The sequence below is a fragment of the Homo sapiens genome, chromosome 2, assembly GCF_000001405.40.
Source record: "Homo sapiens chromosome 2, GRCh38.p14 Primary Assembly".
Lineage (NCBI taxonomy): Eukaryota > Metazoa > Chordata > Mammalia > Primates > Hominidae > Homo > Homo sapiens.
This window is the reverse complement of record NC_000002.12, coordinates 239,281,902-239,300,516: the sequence shown is the minus strand read 5'-3', so window position 1 is coordinate 239,300,516 and position 18,615 is coordinate 239,281,902. Positions and strand designations below refer to the sequence as shown.

General features: G+C 49.6%; 1 protein-coding gene across 43 annotated transcripts in view, besides 5 other annotated features; it reads left to right on the top strand.

Moving 5' to 3' along the window:
* HDAC4 (histone deacetylase 4) overlaps positions 1–18,615 on the top strand; it is a 353,482-nt gene that overhangs the window by 101,133 nt on the left and 233,734 nt on the right. For 6 of the 43 annotated variants that reach the window (XM_047446497.1, XM_047446495.1, XM_011512225.3 and 3 more), the window contains exon 1: positions 1,987–2,351. The exons of the other annotated variants lie outside the window; for them this stretch is intronic. In XM_047446497.1, the coding sequence (XP_047302453.1) occupies positions 2,345–2,351 (7 nt within the window). In that variant the 5' untranslated portion in view covers positions 1,987–2,344. Of the gene's footprint in view, positions 1–1,986; positions 2,352–18,615 lie in introns of those variants that run through there. 43 annotated transcript variants of the gene reach the window in all.
* Positions 3,758–4,373: an enhancer, noted in NCBI's record as "H3K4me1 hESC enhancer chr2:240217839-240218454 (GRCh37/hg19 assembly coordinates)". NCBI's record gives its function as "activates a minimal SCP1, AML or CMV promoter by ChIP-STARR-seq in naive H9 embryonic stem cells {active_cell/tissue: H9 hESC(naive)}" and the evidence as "EXISTENCE:reporter gene assay evidence [ECO:0000049][PMID:30033119]".
* Positions 4,374–4,990: an enhancer, noted in NCBI's record as "NANOG-H3K4me1 hESC enhancer chr2:240217222-240217838 (GRCh37/hg19 assembly coordinates)". NCBI's record gives its function as "activates a minimal SCP1, AML or CMV promoter by ChIP-STARR-seq in naive H9 embryonic stem cells {active_cell/tissue: H9 hESC(naive)}" and the evidence as "EXISTENCE:reporter gene assay evidence [ECO:0000049][PMID:30033119]".
* Positions 6,300–6,359: a silencer, noted in NCBI's record as "silent region_12499". NCBI's record gives its function as "represses an Ori minimal core promoter by ATAC-STARR-seq in GM12878 lymphoblastoid cells {active_cell/tissue: GM12878}" and the evidence as "EXISTENCE:reporter gene assay evidence [ECO:0000049][PMID:35858748]".
* Positions 8,266–8,797: an enhancer, noted in NCBI's record as "OCT4-NANOG-H3K27ac-H3K4me1 hESC enhancer chr2:240213415-240213946 (GRCh37/hg19 assembly coordinates)". NCBI's record gives its function as "activates a minimal SCP1, AML or CMV promoter by ChIP-STARR-seq in primed H9 embryonic stem cells {active_cell/tissue: H9 hESC(primed)}" and the evidence as "EXISTENCE:reporter gene assay evidence [ECO:0000049][PMID:30033119]".
* Positions 8,798–9,327: an enhancer, noted in NCBI's record as "OCT4-NANOG-H3K27ac-H3K4me1 hESC enhancer chr2:240212885-240213414 (GRCh37/hg19 assembly coordinates)". NCBI's record gives its function as "activates a minimal SCP1, AML or CMV promoter by ChIP-STARR-seq in primed H9 embryonic stem cells {active_cell/tissue: H9 hESC(primed)}" and the evidence as "EXISTENCE:reporter gene assay evidence [ECO:0000049][PMID:30033119]".

Genomic DNA, 18,615 nt, shown 5'->3' with positions numbered 1-18,615 from the left:
CTTGGTCCTCCACTCCAGGACTTTCTGCGATGGCGGAAATGGTCCATAGCAGCAATGCCCATCGGGGCAGCCACTGGTCATGCCTGACTGTTGAGCTTGTCAGCAGCCACATCAACACATGGATGGTGTGGCCGAGGAACTGGATTTCAAATTAAATTAAATTAAATTTCAATTTAAGTAACCACATGTGGCCAGTAGCTACCTACAGCGCACTCTCAGGAAGGCTCTAGACTGAGAGTTTGAGGATCATCCTTTATCAGTGATTTGAATGGATGAGGCTTCATCTGTTTGAATTTCCCAGTTGGGGTAAAAAGAGGGGATGCTTGTACTGGAATGGGAGTAGGTTCACAGCGCACAGCCTGGGCCAGCATCAGTGTGTTGCTGAATTTATGCTCCTTCCCAAGGTTGTTGAGGAGACTGGAAGAGAAGTTCTGTGTTAGAGAGAGGGACGCCCTAGAGGAGTTCACTTAGTCACAAGGAGCAGAAATGCCCTCAGTGGCATGGATTGAAAGGCACTTACGGATGGAATTCGGGAGAAATTCATGGAGCACTGCAGGGAGTCCTCTGATGGGACCCCTCTTCCTTCTCTGTCTCCCCTGTCTCCCGAGCCCCAGGACTGCCGGTCTCCCATCTGCTTAGTCCCCAGCTGCGTCCCTGCAGGCTCTCCGCTCTGTTGCTGGTTTGGTTCGTCTGGTGTGTGCCTCCCCTGTGACATGCCGGGAGCAGAGCGGAACAGCTGTGCCAGTCCCTGGGCCCCAGCTGGACTGTGCTGGGTCCAGGGTCTATGAGAGCTGCTGGGAGGCCACCAGTGCAGGTGGGCAGGACCTTGCTCCGTGATTCTACCCATGACGCTTCTCACTCAAGGAATTGGCTTTTGTTTCAGTGCATCCTATTGAAAATCACTTAGCCAGTAAGCAAATGTTGGCCCTTAGTCTGTTAAACATTAATACAAATAAGCACGTGTCGCTGCCCTCCCGTTGTACAGTTGTACAGCTGTAATAAACACCACTCGCCCTGCCTCGTGTGCATGTCTCTTCTGGTTTCGGCACCCCAGTGCCGTGGTTGTGCGAGGGGATCAGAATATCTGCTTGAGATTAGCCCATGTCAGCATTTTATTGGGATTGTTAGGCACCTCCGTCCTGATCATTGCACCACGCTCTGTCCCTGTACTTAAATATCTCTACTTGGCATTTGAAACAAAACAAATAAACCTATTGTACAGGATGGACCAATCATGAGGCATTTTCACTCTGATGTTGGCAGTGGATGTGTTGACATTGAGAGGATATTCATGGTGGCAGGCTGCCCCCAGTTCCAGGTTTTGGATATTTGGAATAAGGTAGGCTATGACAGGCCGGGTGCAATAGCTTATGCCTGTAATCCCAGCACTTTGGGAGGCCAAGGCAGGCGGATCACGAGGTCAGGAGATCGAGACCATCCTGGCTAACATGAAACCCCGTCTCTACTAAAAATACAAAAAATTAGCTGGGCGTGGTGGCGGGCACCTGTAGTCCCAGCTACTCGGGAGGCTGAGGCAGGAGAATGGCATGAACCCGGGAGGCGGAGCTTGCAGTGAGCCGAGATGGCGCCACCGCACTCCAGCCTGGGCGACAGAGTGACTGCATCTCAAAAAAAAAAAAAAAAAAAAAAAAATAGGCTATGGCCATGAAGGGTTGCTTCCGGATTCAGTACATTTAGGAGGAAATAATGTTGTTCATCATATGACACAGTTAAGTCTCCGAGAGATAATTAAATGAAAATCATTCTAAAATGTTTGATTAAATGCCTTTCTAGCCTAGCCCCTGTAGGTGGAGTGTCATGATTTCCACGTTGTTGGGTGCTGGATAAATGATTTAGCCACAGTCTCACGGCTCTGTAAAGAGTGGCAGGCTGTTCCTATCACTGCTGATCCTGTGTGTGCTGTGCACCGGATGTGGGTGGAATGAGGCTGCAGGGGCACCTGCATCCCCAGTGGCTATGATGACTAAATGAGGAGGCCCCTGTAGAGTGCACAGCGTTCACCCAGTGACAGTGTGATTGTAATAGCTGGGGTTGCTGGGACCCTAGAGTATCCACGGTGTGCATGCACTTGAACTTCAGGATACCCTGTTTCCCTCTGAGGTGCAAGAGCTCTGGCGATTCCGGATCCCTACTGTGTGTCAGGTTCTGGAAGCATCTTCTCTCATCTCCACGTGATGCCCAGGGGCTCCCCCAGCTTCTGGAAGCCACCGCTTGTCCAGGGCACCAGCCCAGTCTGTCGTCAAGCCTGGATTTGATCTTAGGTCTGGCTGCTTCCGGAATACCGAGACGGGCCTCTGCTGTTCCCTGAGCTTGCTGTCAGCAAATGTTTGGTGAGGAGAATTATTTGGTTTGGAATTTCTTGTTTATGTTTTAGTCCATTAATTTTTTTTATCCTGTGAAATATTTTAGCAACCCTAAAGACCCATGACACACAGGTATCTCTTCAATATTGTGCTAATTCCTGCCTTTTTTTGGTGTCTTCTCATCTCAGCATCAGTAGTGGTGGCCATGTAGGGACAGAGGCACTTAGCAGCCGCGGCACCGGGAATAATGATTTGACTTGGGGGCCCTGTGGAAGAGGCACATGTTGCCGCTTGAATTCTAAGAACACTATTTACCTTTCTGTTTTGAAAGTTCACTTTCACTTTCAAGGTCTCAATTTTCTCAAAAGTTCTAAAGTGATAAACATAGTCTTTCTAAGATTTTCTTTTTGCATTTGTGGCCTTCGTTGTGGCACAGCCCTGTGTCAGGTGGGGCTGAGCCCAGAGGGTGCTGAGGGGATGGGGCTCATGGTGACAGCGTGGTGCAATCCCGAGGCAAGTCCTTGGCACTGTGATGGGCGCTACCATTGGGGCCTGGCATCCCCAGGCCTCATTAGCCAGCAGTGACCACAGGTGATGCACAGGCGTTCTCATGTCCTGCTTTGGATTCCCTCCGTTAAGGAAACCGCAGCACAGCACCGCTCCACAGTAGCTCATAGCCGGGCAGCCAGGGAGCCGCAGAGTCTGGACTTGACCTCTGCAACCCCGTCTCAACCCTATGCTGTCACACCAGTGTCTGAGTTAAATGGCAATGCAAAGCTCTGGGTCCCATCTTCTAGCGGGGACCTTTGTGGCTTGCCCACAGGTTGGTGGCACGGATCGCTGCTCTCTGGGACAGCATGGGACCCTTTCTGGAGCGAAGTCCACTTCAGAGACCCTGGGTTGCTGTCTGACAGAGCTGTGGGCCTGCCTCATCCTGCGGCCAAGGTTTGGGTGAGCGCTGGCTGCTCGTGGGAAGGTTGGGGGCTCAGGCACCTTTGTGATTGCCTTGTCTTCAGTCTCCACTTCTGTCAGAGCTTACAAAGAGCAGCACATGGGGTCCAGAGGCTTCTGGGGAGCCACCCGTGCCCCTGACCCAAGGATGCATAGGCCAGCCCTTGTAGGAAGCAGCATAAGACTTAATTCCTTTTTTTTTTTTTTTTTTTTTACATGAAAACAAACAGAAATGGGAGTTTTATTTGTTCCCTGCAGCCCCACGAACATCTTTTGGAGCCATCTGGAGAGCTGATCACTTCTTTGGCGGGGACAATCAAATATTGAATGTTGAGGGAAATTAGGGCAAATGGCTCCAGGACTGTCCACTTTTGACAGACCTGGTGAGTGAGTTTAATCATTAATCATTAATCCACGCTTTCTAAATATATCTGCCCCGAAGAATCTCCCGGGCGGAGGTGAAAGTCCTGGTTCCCATGCTCCCTTGACCTGACTGAAGCACAGCTCCGGGGCCCGACAGTGGACAGGCACCCCATTTCATCCCTGTCTGGGGACACATTTAAGCAGTGCTGCCTCGGTTTGTTATTTAGTGACTTATTTTCAAGGAAAAAGATCCAGAAATGATTAGATAAATGCGAAGTCCTAAAAAAGAAAACAGCGCAGTTTCTCTTAAATGCCGGCCAGCATTGTGACCCTGATCTGCTGAGGCCTTGGAAGGTAGTTGAGGCTGCAGGAAATGTCACGGGGTGACCTTTAGAATTAGAGTGTCAGCACTCAGCTGGCTGCCTGCATCTGAAAAAGGAGCCATTGTAGCCAGTGAAATGGGGAAAAACCAGAAAACCAGCTGGGCCAGGGCGCTGCAGGACTGGCCATGACCGCCCTGTGCCACTGTCTGCAGAGACCCTGGTCCAGGCGGGTATTGGCCTCCTTCTGGGCAGAGTGCTGGTGTCCACGCCCAGGGCACACATACAGCTAAGCACATCCTCTGTGTGCGTGCATGTGTGCATACCTGCATATGTGCGTGTGTGTGTGTGCTTTGAGAGTGGTGGCTTTCTGATTGAACAAGCAGAGTGCTCAAGGACACGGCTCCAGGTCAGCCTGTGCAGGCTCCAGTTTGGTGCTCCCCTTTTCTTGCTGGATTAACTTTGGACCATCCCTGAGCCTCTTTGTGCCTCAGTGTCCTCATGTAAAATGGGCGTGATAGCATCCTCAGCTCTCTGCTGCTTCTGTGAAGATGAAGAGTCCCTCTGTAGATGCGCCCATTGCCTGGTAGCTCTAATTACTGGCTCTTCCTTCAGCACCCTGTAAGAAGCTGTTGCAAATGAAGTGTGAGTTGGTGACAGAGCAGTGAAGAGGCTGAGAAAGACAATGAAGGGCTCTGGGGGCACTTGTGATGTGGTTTGGAGAGACAGCTGCCCTAGAACTCACACAGGTGGCCCACTTCTTTGGTCTGTTTGTGCAAAAGTCATTGGTAGTGATTTTGTTGGTGGTGGTGGTTTTGGTGAGGATGTCCATTTAAGAAATAAAATGAAACTGAACGGGAATGGTAAACGAGACACAAAACAGAATGAAAAGCCTCCCAGAGGCTGAGCTTGAAAGGAAACAGCAAATTACAAAGTGAGAATGCCAAGAGCTTTCTCCTTTAACAAACCAGGGTGCATTGTTCTCCTTTCTAATGATAAGGGAGGACCTGTTTGCTCTGGGAAGTTTTAGAAAGGACAAAGGCGTATGAAGGAGAGAGTCTCTGACTCCTAGTCCTGTCACCCTGGGTTCAGCTGTGAACATTTTCATGTGTTTCCTTCCGGCTCCCATCTTGTCTCATTCTCGTTGGTTTTTATGTAACCAGCTTTTGGATGAATAAAAATCTGCTCTTTTGCTTTTCACCCTTGCCAGTTTACTATAATCATCTTTTTTTTTTTTTTTTTTTTTTTTTTTGAGACGGAGTCTTGCTCTGTCACCCAGGCTGGAGTGCAGGGGCGCGATCTCGGCTCACTGCAAGCTCCGCCTCCCGGGTTCACGCCATTCTCCTGCCTCAGCCTCCCAAGTAGCTGGGACTACAGGCGCCCGCCACTACGCCTGGCTAATTTTTTGTATTTTTAGTAGAGACGGGGTTTCACCGTTATAGCCGGGATGGTCTCGATCTCCTGACCTCGTGATCCGCCCGCCTCGGCCTCCCAAAGTGCTGGGATTACAGGCGTGAGCCACCGCGCCCGGCCTATAATCATCTTTTCACATTATTAAAAAACCCTTAGCAGCTGTTCCCTAGCACTAAAAGTCTTATCAGACGGGCGTTGTCCCGAAGCCGTTGGACAGTCTCTCCCGGGCCTCCCACACACCCACCCCCTTAGTCAGAGCAGAGGCCTAGCTTCTGTGGCCCTCTGTCCTGTCCTGAGAGCGCACAGTCCTGACCTGGATGGTGCTCACATGACCCTGAGGGAGGAGTGGCATCGCCCCATTTTACAGATGAGGAAGCTGAGACGCTGAGCTCCTGGCCTGGGTGGGCTGTGCTGCCTCCGAGGCCTCCGAGGCAGGCCCACCTGCTCCCCTTCCTTCCAACTCCCTGTTCTGGAGCCAGCTCTGCTTGCTATCCTGAGCCTCAGCCATGAGGAATTCTGGGGTGCCCACAAATACATCTGTGTGTGCCCCAGCTGTTCCCACTACTGTTGTCCCTTCCCAGAAAGAGAGAGCCCCACCTACTCAGAAGCCTAGGTCTAACAGAGCTCTTCCCTCCTTTCCACCTTCAACGGGGACTTAGTTTCTGAAACACAGTGGCGCGACCTCCTTGCAGTCTCTTTCTCTTTTTTTTCATCTCTGCCCTGGGAGCCAGGTAGGCTCCAGACTCCCTATCAGCCTATCCACAGCTTTCAGAACCTTTCCAAAGTGCAGATCTGATCAGTCAGGCCTCTGCCAAGGCCCATCAGGAGCTCCCAGTGTCCACGTCCTCACGGCGAACAGCTTCCCTGAGTGTTCTGTGCCCAGGTTCAGAAGGGGCTGCCCCTGCCTGGTGATTGCGGTCCTTGTCTGAGTCACTGGGAGTTGATAGAGGTGGATCATGGGGCACTTCTGTTTTAGCGTAAATGTGACGCCTCAGCGACCCTGCACTGCACGGAGCATCCATGAGCTTTCTGCCCAACCTGTGAGAATGAGCTGCTCTTCCTCCCATAGGCAGCAGAGGGTGGGCTGGGAGACGATGGGCGGGTATTTGTGTGGCCCAGTTCTCTCTAGAAATGTCTCTGTTAAATTAACAAATGGCAAGTTAGTAAATTGCAAGTGGATGATTTAAAGTCCTCCTGTTACTTTTAGAGTTCTAGGGCCCTAACAGGTGCTTAGCAAATACTTGTTAAATGTTTTCCCACTAGAAAGGTTTTGTAAGGAGGAAGGAGGCTGGCGTTCTCGCCGTCAGGTTTTTATGCCATCCGCTGAGTGCAGGTATTTTGGGAGCACGTAAACTGTATGTCCAGGTGATACAGGTTAGCCTCCCAGTATAGGGTGCAGTGGACCCAAAACAGGAAAACCACGTGGCCAGGCACAGCAGCTAGAAGCGCATCAGCTGGAGAGAGCCCAGAGATGCCCTGTGCGTAGCCACTGCAGGAAGCCTGGAGGTGCCCTGTGCGTTGGTCTGGGGATCCCTGTGTCCATAAGCAGGTGGGCCTCGGGCTCCTGCTCTCAGCTTCTGCCTGGCTCTTGACCCCTTAACTACCTCATGGTAGCAAGAATGTGACCTTTCTCCCACGCTCCTTTGCTGCTCTCCGCCCTTGTTAATGTTCCGCCCCTGCTGGGGTAGATTGTATCCCCCTTTGATTGTGGAGGGTAGGGCCCTTCTCAAATAGGGTTTTCTGGGACCCTGCGGTTTTGCAAGGTGTTTGCAGTTATTCACCATAAAAACCGAGGGCAGGGGACAGGCCCTGGTCAAACCCCTTTGGGGGAAGCTCAGAGAAATTCAGAAGGCAACTGCTACATTCAAGCTCTGGGAAGCTCCCGAGTAGAGAAGCCAGCTGGGATCTGTCGAGAAGAGACTTGTCCAGTTTATTATTTCAGGGAATTTGTATCCCATGGACACAAATTCCTCACGGGATGCCCTTTGGGAAACGCCTTGTGAGGACTGACCCAGCTGGAGCAGGTACCTGGGAAGGAAAGTCATTTCCAAGGGATTCTGGGCTACCTGGGAGCTGGCCGCTGGCCTCACACCTGAACCTGAAGGCCAGGTGGGTGGTCTCATTTCATGTCTATAGGGACATTCAGCTGTTATTTTTTTAAGTAAAACTGTATCTAATGGAGCTTGCTATTTATTGAGTGATAACTTCAAATCGGAAATGTTCTTTTTCCCACTGAAAGGCCTGAGCAAGGTTTTGCTCTTAGTGCTGTTGCATACCTGTTTCCACCCAGCTTTTAGTCTCTTGTAATTTCTGTTTGGGTATTAAAAGGACGGTCTAGGTCCACGTGAGAGACCTGGTGAAAGAGAGCCTCCTTGGCTTCTGGTAATGAACTTCCATCACCCCCCTTCCAAACAAAGAAACAAAAAAGAAACAGTATCCTCTCGACCCAGCCTCCCGCCTTAGTCTGCTAGTTCATGACACTGGATCATGCCTTATTTGACCTGACCCATTACTTGGCTCGAGTTCCCAGATAGGATATATTGACTTGCTTTTCTGGAAGTAAAGAGATGCATTTTAGATGTGGGTTGGTGGGTCTGTATTTTCTGGGCCCTGCCAAGTATGCCCACAGGGGTACTGGTTTCTCGCTGGAGTGGTGGGGTCACTGCCAGCCCTTCAGATTTGTTTGGCTCTGTGCTCCAGATGGACAGCGGGGCTCAGCCTCCACTGCCCATCTCAGTGCAGAAGCTCTCCAGGGTCTTTCTGTCACACATCTAACAAACAGCCAGTGCTAGAAAGGGGTTTATCCTCGAACGCAGAGAGCAGTGAGTGAGGGCATCTTGTCTTCTGCCGTACCAGGTGAAGGTGACCTCAGGGTCCCCTGGGACTGCTTCTGCAGGTGCTCTGGGAGCCAGCGCATTGCAGCACCTGCCCGGCTGGGAGTCCCCAGCCACACTGACAAAACACCGGAACACTTGGGGCCCCACCTACCATCCTGGCCGTCCCCTTGCCTGCCTTGCCACGATGGGCAAGCACAGCCCCTGGCGTGGCCGTCCTGAGCTGGGCTGTGCGCGCAGCCCCTGGTGTGGCCGCCCTGAGCTGGGCTGAGCTGGGCCGAGCTGGGCCGTGCGCGCAGCCCCTGGCGTGGCTGTCCTGAGCTGGGCTGTGTGCACACACCAGCATCCTGCCCCATCAGTTGCTGTGCTGCAGACAAAGGAGGGATCCACTGGAGCGGGAACTCTTGCAAACAAAGGTTCTATTTTCATGCAAATGTAATCGGCGGCTCCCGGGGAGAAGGCCCAGCTAGCTGGGACTCTTGAGCTTAGGCCCCTTTTCTAGAAGGCGATGGTGGACACTGGAAATCTTCTTTATGATATCTGTGTGGACTTAGAAGAACCAAATAAGAAGCTCTTACATAGATATTGCCCTTCCCCCGACCTGCCAGCTAGGGCTGTAAGTAGAAATTAACCTAAATTAGGAAGATAATTGTCCCTGTGTTAATTGTAGGTTGTCTTTTAAAGCTGTTTTCATTCTCCAGGCCTGAGCAGCAGGCTGGCTTCGGGCCCTACCGTGGGTTGCTGCGCATTGACACCCATGAAAACCAAAGTTCCAGAGGGGCGACCTAGCGGCCTTCCTGCTTTCCAGAGCTCCAGGGTCTCTAGATGATGACGTTTCTTTGAAAATCCCACTGCAGCTCTTCCTGTGTGCCCTCAGGCCCCCCGCCACCCAGGGGACCCCTCTTTGAGGGCGATCAGGCTCTCAGCCCAGGCCATGTAAACAAACACCGGCTATTTTCAGCAAGCCTGTGGTGTCGCAGCTGGCCTGGCAAGGCCCATCCCCGTGTGCACTTGGCCCTGGCCAGCCCGGGCCAGCCCTGGCAGGCGAGCCATGCCTTGGAACGTTCTTACCCGCCATGCTTTTCAGTTTTGTCATAACACCCCCTGGCACTCGACGGCAGCGTCCCAGTCAAAAGGGGGCTGAACAAGGACCCCAGGGACTATTGTATTTGGGGTTTTCTTTGTTGGGAACTTGGATTTCTGTTTGAAAGTGCTTGGTAAAACCTGCCGTCCTCCCTGTCCCGGGCACGCACCAGCAGGTGGAGGCAGGCGCTGCCTTCTGAACGGCTCTTTCCTTTTGTCCTCGGTTTTCTTGAGGCCTGGCTCACTTATTCCATTAGTCATGATTGGATAAAGCTTTTAAAGAAAAATCCCCACCCCTTGCCTTACTGTGCCACGAAAAATTCCTGAGTGAATGAGCGAAGCCACCCACTTGATAGGAGCCCTGGAGGCTGCCTTTCACATGGACTTTCAGGTGGGCCAGGCCCTGTATAGAACCCCGGCCCTCCCCATAGTGCCCTAGAAACACACTAAACACGGGAGCGTGTGTGGTGTGTGTGTGAGTGCGTGCGCGTGTGTGCGTACGTGAGTGCGTATGTGAGTGTGTGCGTGCGTGTGTGTGCATGCGCGTGCGAACTGAATGCATGCGTGCGCGCATGTGTGGTTGTGTGTGCGTACATGTGTGTACGTGACTGCTTGTGCGCACGTGCCTGTGTGTGTGTGTGTGTGTGCCTACTCCCATTTCAGGAGCTTGCCCTGCCTGTTTGATTTTTCTAAAGATTGACACTCTAAATCCCCTTTCTCTCCAAAACTCTCTTGGGGTGATATGGAAGACTCCTAGGGTCTCCAGTTTTACCATATTCTCCCTAGTCCACACAGAAGGTGTCCTTCAGCCACATAAAATGGGCCACTCATTGGTGCTGGACATCCTCACGCCATTGGTGCTGGTGTCCCCATGTCGCTGGTGCTTCATGTCACGTGCCGTTGGTTCTGGGTGTCCCCACAGCCTGGCCTTAGGGTGCTCTGTTTCTTTATAGTTAAGGAATTAGCTCAGCTGACAGGGAACTAGGTAAGAGTAAAGTCTGATAACATGGAAAATGTTAGTGCACATTTGAAAAAAAATAAATTTAGTAAAAATGTTGATATATTTTAAGTTTGAATGACAAGACTTGAGTGAATTTTTCCTGGTTAATGTTGTGTCTTTTGATTAAGCCATTTCAATGGAGTGTACATTTATATTAACTCTTGATGCCTTTTTTATTTGCCGTAATTGGATTAGAAAATAAGATCTTTTCTGTAGTTGATAGAACTTTGTTAATTTTATTCTCTCATTTGTTTTCCTTAACTCAAAAATGGTGAGTAAAGATCACGATGCTGTTTTAAAATTTAGGAAGTGGTGAACCATCAAGAGGATAAGGTTAGGTGTAATTTGAAGGATGATTATGAAGTGAGGGTTTATGCAGATTTGTGCACCAGTGTGTACAGTAGGGAAACGGAGGGTTATAACCAGGGGCATTCTCAGAGTTTGGGCAGGATCAGGCAGCGGGCAGAGCTCTGGTGCCCCATCAGGCGGGGACTTTGGGGGGTGCTCTCTGCTCTCCGTGGGCTCCCACATCAGATGAGCCAGGTGGCTGGGAGGGGCCCTGCGTGCCCAACACAGTGGCTGAGGGGCTGCTGCTCCTGCCCTGTGATGTGTGCTCTCTCCCCAGCCTGGATTTCCAGAAGAAAAGACCTCTGCTCCTCCTGTCTTTTTATTCTTTATTGGCCTGGTGCTGGGCACTTAGTTGGAGTTCAGTAAAGGTTTAGTGAGTGAAGAAGGAAAAAATGTTACTTAGAAGTGTTTTACTCGACTTCCTTGATCTGGAAACACACACACATATTGTAACATAAGAAAAGTTATATGCAAAAACAGTTCTTAAATGACACCTCGACTAAGACAAAACACAGACCTTTTCTTTTGTGGTTAGTGCTTTTTCGTATTTCATTTAAAAACAAAACAACCACCAAAAAACCTTCCCTACCTCAAGGCCATAAAGATAACCTTGTATATTTTCTCTTAAGGCCTTTGACGTTTTGTCTTTCATACTTAAGCCTTTGGTTTTTGTGTGGGGTGCAGGGTGGGGATCAGTTTCATTTTCTTTTCTCATTTTGAGAACCATAATGTTTGACACTTTACACCCTTTCTCTGGGATAGCTGTGCGGCCAGCTCATCCTCCAAGTTCAATCTGTTTTGGACCCTCCCTGTGCTCAGCTGCTCCAGAGCCTGTCCTGGGGCCAGCAGGGCACTGTCTCCTTGACAGGCGCTGCAGCCGCACTCCCCTGTCTCAGCCCCCTCCCTGCAATTGTCCCAGCTCCTCCTAAGCTGTGACTTGTCTAGAGACAAGTTCCTTTAAAAAGCCTAGCCTGAAACTTGATTGGAATTGCATTGACTCTATGGATGAATTTGAAGGCAGGGTTGGCATCCTGACAGTATATTTGTGTGTGTGGCTTCTCTTTCCCTCCATCAGGTCTTCTTTACTGTCTTTTTTCAATAGATTTTTATAATTTTCTCTATAAAGGTCTTGTACGTGTCAAGTTAGATTTATTCTTTATTCTTTGGTAGATTGTAGTTGTTTTGTTTTTCTGTTGCAGACAATACGTTTTTTTTTTAATTAAGTTTTCCCTTGCTAGTTTTTGGAATTGCAGTTGATTTTTATATTTTATTTTTATATCCAATCATCTTATTAAAATCTTATAATTTCTAAAAATTTTTTTCTGTAAATTCTTCAGGGTTTCTAAGACAAAGACTGTTAAAGTAACGATGCTAGTTTAGTGTCTTCCTCTCCAATTCCTGTGTTTATTTTCCTTGTCTTACTGTGCTAGCTGGGAATTCCAGTTCAGTTTTGAGTAAGAGCAGAAATACTGGACTTCCTTCTGTCGTCCTTGACATTAAAGAGAAGATTTTTAACATTTTTCCCAATTTAAGTATGATGTTTGACATAGGTTATTTTAGATTCCCTTTTTCAAGTTAAGTTCATGGATAGCTGTGTTCCATTAGCCAAATGCTTTTACTCCGTCTGTTGTGATGATCGTATAGTTTTCTGTTCTAATTTTCTGTTAAACTTCCCTTATCTCTTCCAGTGGATTCAGCTTGTTTGTGATAAATCTTGTCATTTTCATACTTTGCTAGCGCTTCAGGATTCTTCATCTCTGTTCTTGAATTGGAGTGGACGGTAATTTTCCTTTTTTAAGGTCTTTTTTTTTTTTAACTTACAGGGATAGTTTATTTAAGATTAGAATTAATTATTCCTTGAAAGTTTGTAAAAATTAACCTCAGACTATTTGGGGTTCATATTTCCTTGGTGGTTTGATGTTTTAACTACTGATTTAACATCTTTAATGGTTACTGATAACCTGAACTTTTAATTCCTGTCATATGGATTTAAAAGAAAGTTTTTAGGAGTCCTACTTAATCTACGTTTTCAATTTTATTGTCATAGATTTGCTTCTGGTGTTTACATCTTTGCTGGATTTGTCTCTGTGTACCCGTTTTCATTTACAACATGACTTAGTCTTCTTCTTGATTAATCTGTATTAATCGTTTTGAGTCACTCTGGCTTTGTGGATTCCCTTAGTTGTAAGTCAGCTTTCTGTGTTTTAAATGCCTGCTCTTATCTTCCTGGTACTTTCTGTGGCTGGCTGCACCCAGTGTTCTCTCTCTCCCGAGGTTGGATGTGCAGCTCCCATTAGTTCTTAGCCTTCCTTCTGTTATAAGCTACACAGTTCCCTTGAAGTAGGCATTGGGTGCATACAACAAGTTTTGACACTTAGCATTTTCATTTCCATCCCAAGTTTTTAAAAGGTCGTGTCAACAGTACACCTTTGAGATGATGTAAGGAGGTGCCACTTGGTCTCTGTGACCTTCCTCCCAAAAACATACAACCCCATCTGGTCATGACATCAAACAAATTCTGATTAAGGGACATTCTAGCAAACACCCAATCAAGTACTTTAAACTGTCAAGGTCATTAAAAACAAGGCAAGTCTGAGAAACCGTCGCAGCCGAAGGAGCCTCAGGAGTCAGGAGGATAAAGGAAGGACAGTGGGGTCCTGGGTGGGGTCTCAGAACAGGAGGACCACAGGGAAAACAGGAAATCCAGGCACGGCTGCAGTTCATGCTGATGGATCACTGTGGGCTCACGAAGTGTGACGCATGCCCCATCCTGGTATAGACGTGATCAAATGCCTCGTATTGTCCGAGAGGTCCCCAGGACATTCCCTGCCCAGGCCAGTGTCCAACTCCCTGTGCACTTGTCCTTCCTGCTTGCATCAGACACTCTCCTGCTGGGGTCACTTTCTCTTTTCTTTATGAACACATACCCCTTAGGAGTAGCTTTAGTAGACCTGTTGGTGATACAGTCCTTGCGTGTGTATGTGTGTCTGATCTGAAAATGTCTCTATTTCACCAACATGCCTGAGTGACTGTTAGGCAAAACTTGGAGGTGAGTTTTCTTTTTCTCCTTTCATCACGTTTGGTGTATTCTTCTCATCCTTGGCCGGCCTACCTCAGCATAGCAGCCGCTCCTTCCTTGTCTGTCTGTGTCTCACTGGCTGCTCGTCACATCTTCTTTTGTCCTTGATGCTCCCAGTTTTGTCAGGGTGTGTTTGGGTGTGGAGCACCCTGTTGTCTTGGCATATGTTTGCCTTTGTGTCTGTGAGTTTGTGTGTTTTATCAGTCCTGGAAATCCGCAGCTAGTGCCCCTTTAAATATTGCTCCATAGTCTTCCTTCCTTCCCTTCCTTCCCTTCCTTCCCAGTCCTGCAGAGTCAGCTGTCACACCTCCTCAGGTGGCTCTTATGGGTTTTCAACTCTCCTTGGACTTTTACTTTCAGAATACAAAATACAGGATTTGGGCTCTCCTTCATTTTTGTATTTTGATTCCCTCTGCTCAGCTGATTTCTTCGTCAGGATCTTCTCACTCACCGAATCTCCTTTTTATTTTTGCATGGCATTTATTGCTTAAATCATTCATTGAGGGTTTTCTTTTTTTTAAAATGCATCAATTACACTTATTATTTTTGAAAGTCTACTTTGTTCTTTTCCTAAAATGATTAATTTTGACAATTCTGTTGCTTCCTCTGATTCATTACTTAAAATTTTTCAAGTATTTTCATAAACTTTTTATTTAATCAAAACATACATGGGGAAAATGATAGTGAATAAAGCATTAAGAGATTCTTTGAAAGTTTCAGAAACAGTAATCGTACCATTTCTCATGATATGAGTAACTGAAGAACTTGACTGTCTTTTGATGTGTTTGCTGCCTTTTTTCACTTCTTTCTGTGTTGGCTTGTGTTTGCTTGGGAGCGTATGTCTCGCTGGTCTTACTGTTTGGAAATAGAGGGATGGGAGTGAGGAGGCCGTTCTTCTGATAGGCATGCCACGTGCATTTCCTGGGAGCTGCCCTGGACTCCAGCCCCTGCATCCTGAACGCTGCAGCTCTGGGCTCACCTCGGTCCTGACCCCCATGCAGTCCTCCACCCGCTGCCCTCAACTCTCCTGTCAGCTCGAGTTGCTTTTGTTTCCCTTAATTATATATTTCTGGCTTGTTGGAGGGTTTCCTTACTGCTGGTGAGCCCAGCAGTGTGACAGAAGGTATGTCTTATGCAGAACCTGGGGTTTCCACAGCACAAGAGCCTGTAAGATGACTTGTCTGCCACGTCCCCAGAAGAGGAAGTTTCTAGTACTTCAAAAGCCCAACCTTTGGCCAGCTTTCTCTCAGCCCCTTTTACCCAGCTTCGTTTTCTCCCCACCAGCTGGGATGACAGGTCCCGCGGCGGAGACACTTGCTGGCAGCCGGCACTGCTCCTCTGCCTCCCCGCACACTAGCGAAGCCCCAGCCTCGGTGGAACCCCTTGCTGTAAGGCTTCTCCTTCCTTACCCAGGAAGTGCAGGATGCCAGGGAAGAGCACCGGCTCAGCATTCTGGCCACGCTGCACAGCCGCGAACTTGGGGGCCCAGCCGCGGCGCGTTCTCCACTCCCAGCAGGGATCTGCCCCTCCCACCCCCAGCATGGCTGTGTTCCTCCTTAGCGTGGCTCTGTCCCCCTCCACCGTGGCTCTGTGCTCATCCAGCTGCCTGTTTTCTCACTGTGTAACGCTTTCTCTGTACCATCTGCAGTCTTTGAACTTTGAACTTTGAACCTGGCCTTCCAGGTTGCCATGAAGGTAGACTGTAGATTGTCTAGGTGTGGGGTGGGATGTATTTTATTTGATGGCTTGGTAGACTGATGGATGCATTTAGACGACTTGTCTCTGGGCTTCCTTCATGCTTTTGATCCCATCTCTCCTTTCATTGTGAATATCCTCTCATTTTCCTTGTAAGTTTTGTCACTTGTCTCTGGCTTCCTTTCTGAGCCTCTAAATATACCCTAATTACTTACATTAAAAAACACAATGAAACAAAAGTTTCCCGATCCTGGGTCTCCCCAGTCTGCAGCCCAGACTCTCCTCAGCTTCCTGTGGGAGGGCTGCTTGTGTATTTACTTTTGAACCGGGACACTGGTCTCCAGGACACTGGAGAGTGGAAGGGCCTCTGGCTCTGGGGCGTGGGCGCTCACCGTCTGGTGCCTTTCCCCCTGCAGATCCTGGAGGCCCCACCTCCCACCCAGTCCCTACTGTGGTGGCCTGCTCTGTGTGTGCTGGGACCATCTTCATGCAGGGGCATCTTGCCTTTCACCTGCCTCTGCCTCTGTTGGCACCGGATGCCCAGGGGCACCTGATGGGCTTTCATGCATGTCACCTGGCGTGTGTGGAAGCTGCTCTCAGGGTCACCCCTGACTACGAGGGCCACAATGCACCTGCCCCCATTCCTCAGGGAGGCAGCTCTGCGATGCTCCCCGAGGCCCCGCGGAGGGTCCCCGTGATGGAGCATGCTGTTGGCCATCACTGGGTCAGCACAGTGGCTCAGGGCTGCCCCCATGCGTTGGCTCACTCTGCCCACTCCCTGGCCCGCTCCCTCTGTCCCTCACCCAGCATCCCAAACCACATTCATCAGAAGCGCAGCCAGTCCTGCCATCGGTGTCCTCGGCTCCGCTGTGGTCGGCTCCCTGTAGCTGGGCTCAGGACCGGCACTGTCCTGGTGGAGAGTCCTGCTTCAGACACCACTTGGGCTCCTCTCAGTGTGTCTGCGGCCTGTGATGGGCAGCAGGTGAGTGTCATGTGGAGAGACGTGGAAAGCCACTGGGCGTGGAGACCGCAGCATGGACTTCACAGTTTTCAGAGGCCCTGGGGTGCAGAAGCGGGAACTGTGACTGGCTGGGGGCCCCTGCGCCGACGCCCTTGGCGCCTTCGGGGCCTCACCGCTGTAGATCCCGAGGCAGCACTACTGTCCCCCAGCAATGTTGGAACTGCTCTCCACTTCTCCCCGGCACTACATGGCCCCTCCAGTCAGCCCAGGCATTCAAGCCAGAAGCTAGCAAATGTATTTTGCTTTTCTTCTCCTAACTCCCGACAGCCTGCCCATCATCCCTTTGTGACAGTGCTTCCACCAAAACGCCATCAAGGCCGCCTGATCCTCTCCAATTCCATGACCGCCCGTGGTGGCCGGCACTGCTGTTACCGCTCGCGGAAGTGGGTTGCCAAACACAGCCGTTATGAAAACGAAATTAGCTAAACTTACGACTAAATAAGTCACATTAAAACAAATGCAATCAGTGCTTACAACTCTGCCTTCCTGATTTCTGTACTGCAGTGCTCTCTTCTCTGCTCGCAGGGCTTTTGTGTTCTTATGGTGGAAACGCCCAGGTGTGGTCAGGCCCCTTCTAGCCTCTGCCGGCAGTGGCGTCCCAGGCCCCTCGCGGTGGCCAGCCCGACACTCGCTGCAGCCTCGTCGGCACTGATCCTGCTCATGGGGGGCGGTAGCCATGAGACCAGGCTTTCTGCTGTTTGAGGAGCCCCGCAGCTCCTGTACCTCAGGCCCGCACCCTGGGCACTTCTGCTGCCGGGAGCCCCTTCCTCCGGATCTCAGAGACCCAGCGTCATGCAGAGTTTTTTTAGCTTAAGCCTCAGTTCCTCAGAGAGGCCTTTCCAGCCAGCTTGACTCGCCAGCCCCTGCCCTCATAGTCCTCTGCGGGCCAGGCCCGTGGTGTCCTCTTGTAGAGCGCATTCTTCCACTGACTGTCAAGCTCCCTCTGCACCCTCAGCCTCAGCATTGCTCCTGCATGCGTGGCTGACTGTGGGCGAGCGAATCCTGGAACATCACATGTTTTGTTTGTGGAGTGGTGTGTACATTGTTTGTAGAGTGGTGTGTACATTGTGTGTAGAGTGGTATGTACATTGTAGAGTGGTACGTACATTGAGAGTGGTGTGTACATTGTAGAGTGGTGTGTACATTGTTTGCAGAGTGGTGTGTACATTGTGTGTAGAGTGGTGTGTTCATTGTAGAGTGGTATGTACATGGAGAGTGGTGTGTACATTGTAGAGTGGTATGTACATTGTAGAGTGGTGTGTACATTGTGTGTAGAGTGGTGTGTACATTGTGTGTAGAGGGGTGTGTACATTGTAGAGTGGTGTGTACATTGTGTGTAGAGTGCTGTGTTCATTGTAGAGTGGTGTGTACATTGTTTGCAGAGTGGTGTGTACATTGTAGAGTGGTGTGTACATTGTAGAGTGGGGTGTACATTGTTTGTAGAGTGGTGTGTACATTGTCGAGTGGTGTGTACATTGTTTGCAGAGTGGTGTGTACATTGTAGAGTGGTGTGTTCATTGTGTGTAGAGTGGTGTGTACATTGAGAGTGGTGTGTACATTGAGAGTGGTGTGTACATTGTAGAGTGGTATGTTCATTGTGTGTAGAGTGGTGTGTACATTGAGAGTGGTATGTACATTGAGAGTGCTGTGTACATTGTAGAGTGGTGTGTACATTGTAGAGTGGTGTGTACATTGTGTGGAGAGTGGTGTGTGCATTGTAGAGTGGTGTGTACATTGTGTGGAGAGTGGTGTGTACATTGTAGAGTGGTGTGTACATTGTGTGTAGAGTGGTGTGTACATTGTAGAGTGGTGTGTACATTGTGTGTAGAGTGGTGTGTACATTGTAGAGTGGTGTGTACATTGTGTAGAGAGGTGTGTACATTGTAGAGTGGTGTGTACATTGTGTGTAGAGTGGTGTGTTCAGTGTAGAGTGGTGTGTTCATTGTAGCATGGTGTGTACATTGTAGAGTGGTGTGTAGAGTGGGGTGTTCATTGTAGAGTGGTGTATACATTGTGTGTAGAGTGGTGGGTAAATTGTAGAGTGGCATGTACATGGTGTGTAGAGTGGTGTGTTCATTGTAGAGTGGTGTGTACACTGCGTGTAGAGTGGTGTGTTCATTGTAGAGTGGTGTGTACATTGTTTGCAGAGTGGTGTGTACATTGTGTGTAGTGTGGTGTGTTCAT